Source organism: Homo sapiens, chromosome 3, assembly GCF_000001405.40.
Source record: "Homo sapiens chromosome 3, GRCh38.p14 Primary Assembly".
NCBI classification, from domain to species: Eukaryota; Metazoa; Chordata; class Mammalia; order Primates; family Hominidae; genus Homo; species Homo sapiens.
This window is the reverse complement of record NC_000003.12, coordinates 75,517,645-75,523,849: the sequence shown is the minus strand read 5'-3', so window position 1 is coordinate 75,523,849 and position 6,205 is coordinate 75,517,645. Positions and strand designations below refer to the sequence as shown.

General features: G+C 44.7%; 1 pseudogene; it reads right to left on the bottom strand.

Moving 5' to 3' along the window:
* SNRPCP10 (small nuclear ribonucleoprotein polypeptide C pseudogene 10) lies at positions 1,289–2,065 on the bottom strand (annotated as a pseudogene).

Here is a 6,205-nt window from a genome sequence, read left to right as displayed (position 1 = left end):
TTTCTGGGTAGGTTACTGGTAGTGTCAGGCCAAATTAGCTCTACAGTCATATTCATTATAAATAAGGGCAACTAGAAGATCTCCATCTAGCTATTAAAAATTGGTTAAAATCTACAGAGATAAAGGATGGTGACCCTTGTATCCATTAGTTGTTGTCACACAATGCTGCATAACATGTCACTCCAAATCTCAGTGGCTTAATACAACAATTGTTTATTTTCATGGATCTATGGGTCAGCTGAGGATTGGTTAATCTGGCATGAGCATGTCTGGGAAGCTTGACTTTGCACTTGATGTCTCTTGTCTTCTTCTGGAAGCAGCATTCTGGCCTCGGCTTGTTCTCATGGTGATAGCAGGAGTGAGCGAGCACAAATGAATGCACACTTTCCAAGTTTTTGGTCATGCAGATTAATATTCCAGTGGCCAAAGCTAGACACATGACTAAATCCAACATTAGCGGCTGGAGAAATATACTCCGATTCTTCAGTGGGAGGAACTGCAGAGACAAATGACAGAGTCTTGGATACAGGGAGGACATGGATCCATTAATGTACCTTAATCAACGGCAACCCTCTAACCACCAATACAATTAAATAAGTATTTGTTGAATGCACTTGTGCCTGAATCCTTCTTGCTGCAGCCCAGGCAATGGGGGCCTGACTGGGGAGGGACCATAGCAGGGACTCAATGCCCTGCAGGTCTGCATGTAATTGTGTACGGCCGACTCCACATTGGTCATGGCTGACTTGCTTTGTCCTGCGTCCCCAAGGGGCAACGATTGGGTGATTTTATTTCTGAACAGTTATGACAAAGTTGTTTTCAGGAGCCCAGGAAGCAAATCAGTTGTAGATTTGAATTTTGCAGGGGGTCAGAATTGTTGAATATATATATAGTCTTTTACATGCTGATAATTATTTCCATACCACAAAGAAGGCCGGCTATTAGGAAGCTGCTGTTCAATTCCTTTGCCCCTTGAACTCATGAGCTGTGCCTATGTGGGGGGCACTCACTTGTTAGAGCTGTTTCCCTTCATAGTAACATCAGCCAATATTCTAAATAAATGCAGGAAATTAAATAGTCTTCCCCAAACGTGTACTTTGCTCTTCTAAAGTGAATTACACATTGTAAAATAAAACACAGTCACATTAAAAAAACAAAAGGTCTTTGTGTCAGGTTGGTCTGGCTTCAGCAAAGAAAGATAATCTTTGCCTCCAGAGTAGAAGATCCTTGGAAACCACGGTATTGCACATGGCAGCCCCACATCTTGTTTTCTTTTCTTTTTTTTTGTTTTTAACTAAAAGAGTTGACAATTTTATTTTCACATTTCCCAATACAAATGAAAACTGCGTCTTTTTTGGTCCCACTTCTCCCCTCCAAAACTATTCTCTTTGATAGGGTAAGGGGGCAAGTGTTCCTTATGCTGTTAAGAAAACCCAGTATCAGCGCATGATCTCCTGGTGAAGGGAGCAGGTAAATATAAACTCATATAGGCCGGGCGCAGTGGCTCACGCCTGTAATCCCAGCACTTTAGGAGGCTGAGTCAAGCGGGTCACGAGGTCAGGAGATTGAGACCATCCCAGCAAACATGGTGAAATCCTGTCTCTACTATAATTAAAAAAATTAGCCAGGCATGGTGCGCACACCTGTAGTCCCAGCCACTCAGGAGGCTGAGGCAGGGGAATCACCTGAACCCAGGAAGTGGAGGTTTCAGTGAGCTGAGATCGTGCCACTGCCCTCCAGCCTGGGTGACAGAGGAAGGCTCTGTCTCAAAAACAAAACAAAAAAACACAACAACAACAACAACAAACACTGATGTAATGAGGCTTCCACTCTATCCTTATCTGTCTGGTCGAGTCATTCTGGGCTGACTGGGCACCATCATGAGATGGGCAGGAGGTCTCATCATTGGGCACCCAGGCATCATGGGCATGTGGCCTCCCATGGGCAGCCTCATTCCAGGAGCAGGTCCCACTGGCATCATCCCAGGAGGAGGAGGGCCCATCATTGGCATCATGGGAGGGCCTCCCATATGGGGTGCTGCCATCATACTGAGATGGGCGAGAAGTGTCAAATACACGTTAGATTGTGAAGCCTTAATATAAAAAGAAAGCAAAGTATTTTACTAATGTTAAAATATTTTATACACGTAGACCTGGTATTTTGGATAGATTTATTTAAATCTGTGATATTATTCCAATTACCTTCACTTCTTTTGTTTTACTTTTTAAAATGTGGTTACTACAAAATGCAAAAGTGAATGTGTGGCTTGCATCATATTTCATCACATTTAGTGTGGGCCCTGAGGGTCTAGGGGAGTTATGAGCCTTAAGTTGAGGGTGACCCAGGTCAACGTGAATTGCTCTGAAAGAGAAGCAAAGGGCATAAAGAGAACACATAAATGGAGAGAGGGAGCTCAGTCTTGCAGGGTGAGGAAAGGCTTTCTTTCTTACAGTCTGGCATTTCTTCAAAAGCTTAAACACAGAGTTCTATGACCCAGCACTTCCACTCCAGTTTATGAAAGAAATGAAAATATATGTCTATGCAGAAACTTGTACATAAATGCTCATAGCAGCATTACTCACAATAACGCCAAATTGAAAACAACACAAATGCTTGTCTACTGATGAGTGGAGTAATAGAACATGGTTTCACCATGCAATGGAATATTATTCAGTCATCAAAAGGAATTAAGTACTAACACGTGCTACAACACGGATGAACCATGAGAATATTAGGCTAAGTGGAAGAAACCAGTCACAAAAGGTCACATATTATAAGATTTCATTTATATGAAATGTGCAGAACACGCAAGTCTATGAAGACAGAAACCCTGTCTCTACTAAAAATATAAAATTAGATGGGCATGGTGGCACATGCATGTAATCCCAGCTACTCGTGAGGCAGGAGAATTGCTTGAACCCGGGAGGCAGAGGTTGTAGTGAGCCGAGATTGTGCCACTGCACTCCAGCCTGTGACAGAGACTCTATCTCAAAAAAAGTACATTGTCAGGGCTTAGTGGGAGGAAGAAATGGCAGGTACCTGATAATGGATACAGGGTTTCTTTTTGGGGTGATGAAAATGTTTTAAAATTGATCATAATAGTGGTTGCTGAGGCTCTGTGAATGCACTGAAACCATTGATTTGTTCACTTTAAATGGGCAAATCATACGGTACCTGAATTATATTTTAATAGTTGTATTAAAAATAAAATCTTCCTTGAAGAGATGACACTTAAGGAGAGGTGTAGGGGGTGGGATGAATTCACTAGGTAGAAAATGAGGAAAAGCATTTCAGGGTGAGGAACAGCACAGTGAAGTCCCTGAGGGTGATAGGCATAGAGCAGATTTAAGGGACTTTTTTTTTTTTTTTTCTCTTTGAGAAAGAGTTTCGCTCTTGACGGTCAGGCTGGAGTGGAGTCGTGTGATCTTGGCTCACTGCAATCTCTGCCTCCTGAGTTCAAGCAATTTTCCTGTCTCAGTCTCCCGAGTAGCTGGGATTACAGGCACCCTCCACCACACCTAGCTAATTTTTGGATATTTAGTAGAGATGGGGTTTCACCATGTTGACCAGGCTGGCCTCGAACTCCTGATCTCAGGTGATGCACCCGCCTCAGCTTCCCAAAGTGCTGGGATTACAGACATGAGCCACTGCGCTCAGCCAGATTTAAGGGACTTTCAAGAAGTTTGTGTGGCTGAAGCCTGCAGGGCAAGTGAGAGAATCAGGAAATGAGGCTGGAGAAAGAGAGGGGCTAGGTCATGGAGGGTCTCACATTAGGGTGTTGAAACTTCATAGGAGTGGTCCCACTTTGGGCATCCCACGTAACTACTCTGTGTCCCAGCTTCCTCACTGGTGAAATACAGGGCTGATGTAGAGATGGACTGAGATAGTGTGTGCTCAGTAAAGGTGACCTTTTATCATTGTTGTTGTTGTTGTTGTTGTTGTTGTTGTTTTGAGACGGAGTCTTACTCTGTCACCCAGGCTGGAGTGCAGTGGTGCGATCTCGGCTCACTGCAACCTCCGCCTTCGTGGTTCAAGCGATTCTCCTTCTTCAGCCTCCCGAGTAGCTGGGCTTACAGGCATGTGCCACCATGCCTGGCTAATTTTTTGTACTTTTAGTAGAGACGGGGTTTCACCGTGTTAGCCAGGATGGTCTTGATCTCCTGACCTCGTGATCCATCCGCCTCGGCCTCCCAAAGTGCTAGGATTACAGGTGTGAGCCACTGCGCCTGGCCTGGAGTTGTTTTTAAAAGCACATTTCTCTCAAATTAACTCCGGGGTGTCCCACTGTGACTTGGGCAAAGGTTTGGATTTTCTGGAGGTGGAAAGTCAAACTTCAAATAGAATTTGGAGGCTGGGCACTGTGGCTCATGCCTGTAATCCCAGTACTTTAGGAGGCTGAGGTGGGTGGATCATTTGAGGCCAGAAGTTTGAGACCAACCTGGGCAACATGACGAGACCACGTTTCTACTAAAAATACAAAAATTAGCTAAGCATGGTGGTACATGCCTGTAATCCCAGCTACTTAGAAGGCTGAGGCAGGAGTTATCACTTGAGCCTGGGAGGCAGAAGTGTCCTGTGTCCACACCCCATGAGGTGTATCAGCTGACTGAAGATAAAATCGGTCACGCTGTGTTGAGATTGGGGTTGCTGTTATCATACCTCATCCCCACCCCTGCTAGGCATCCACAAATAGTCATCTTCAATGAGAAGTCCCTCCTGTCCCTGGCTGCCTTATTTCATCTGCACCCAACCATATCCATTGCTTGTCAGTGGGTCTCAACTTTTGCTGCACCTTGGAATCTCCTGGGGAGATGAGACAATAACAAGGCTCTCTCTCACTTAGCATGATGTTTGCAAGGTCCATCCCCATGTAGTAGGCACCAGTGCTTCCACTGTATGGATACAGCACATTTTGTTTATTCATTCATCAACCAAATGGCCAGCTTGGTTGTTGCTACCTTTTGGTTATTATATATATTACATGATTCCATTTATGTGAAAGGTCCAGAATAGGCAAATCTATAGAGACAGAAAGCAGGTAAGTGGTTGCCAGGAGCTGGGGGAAAGGGGAGGGGATGTGGGGTTCTTGATGGATACAGGGTTTTTTTGGGGGGGGCGGGGGGCGTTAATGAAAATGTTTTGGAACTAGACAGAGATGATGATTGCTTAACATTATGAATGTATTTAATGATACTGAAGTGTATGGTTTCATACAGGGATTTGTATGTTATGTGAATTTTGCCTCATTAAAAAAATACTGCTAGGAGCAATGGCTCATGCCTGTAATCCCAGCACTTTAGGAGGCCAAGGCGGGAGGATCACGTGAGGCTGGGTGTTTGAGACCTGCCTGCCCAATATGGTGAAACCCTATTTCTATTAAAAATACAAAAATTAGCCAGGCGTGGCGGTGCATGCCTATAATCCCAGCTACTCGGAAGGCTGAGGTAGGAAAATGGGTTGAACCCGGGAGGCAGAGGTTGCAGTGAGCTGAGATTGCACCACAGCATTCCAGCCTGGGTGACAGAACAAGATTCCATCTCAAAAAAAAAAAAAAAAAAAAAACAACACACAAACACACACAAAATACTGATGCCCATGTTTCATCCCCAAGAGATTCTGTAATAATTGATCTGGGTTGCAGAGCCTGGGCACTGGGTTTGCAAAATCTCCCCAGCTGATTCTGATGTGCAGCTGTGGTTGAGAATCTCCTTCTGGAATGAACTTGTTCATGTTTTACTTGTGTTGTTTTCTAGCCTGCCTTTGCCTTTCTGTTTCACTTCACATCTTTGGGGAGTAATTTTTACAATGCAGTCTAACAACCAGCTGCCTCAAAATGCACTGGGATCCCTCATAACCAGGTAGCTTCCCATCTCCAACTCTGACCTGCCAAGTCAGAATCTTGTGGGTGGGGCCGAGGACTGTACATATTGAAACAGGCAGTGACCTGGGAACTATTTCTGAACACCCCTATGTTTCCCCTGTGTTTGCCCTTTCCTTTCACATTTGGACCCATTTGTGTGCTGACCACTGGGCTGTTGCACGTGGACATAGCATAAAAAAGACAGGCCAGGTGCAGTGGCTCACGCCTGTAATCCCAGCACTTTGGGAGTCTGAGGTAGGCAGATCACTTGAGGCCAGGAGTTCAAAATCTGCCTGGCCAACATGACAAAACCCCGTCTCTACCAAAAATATGAAATTAGCTGGG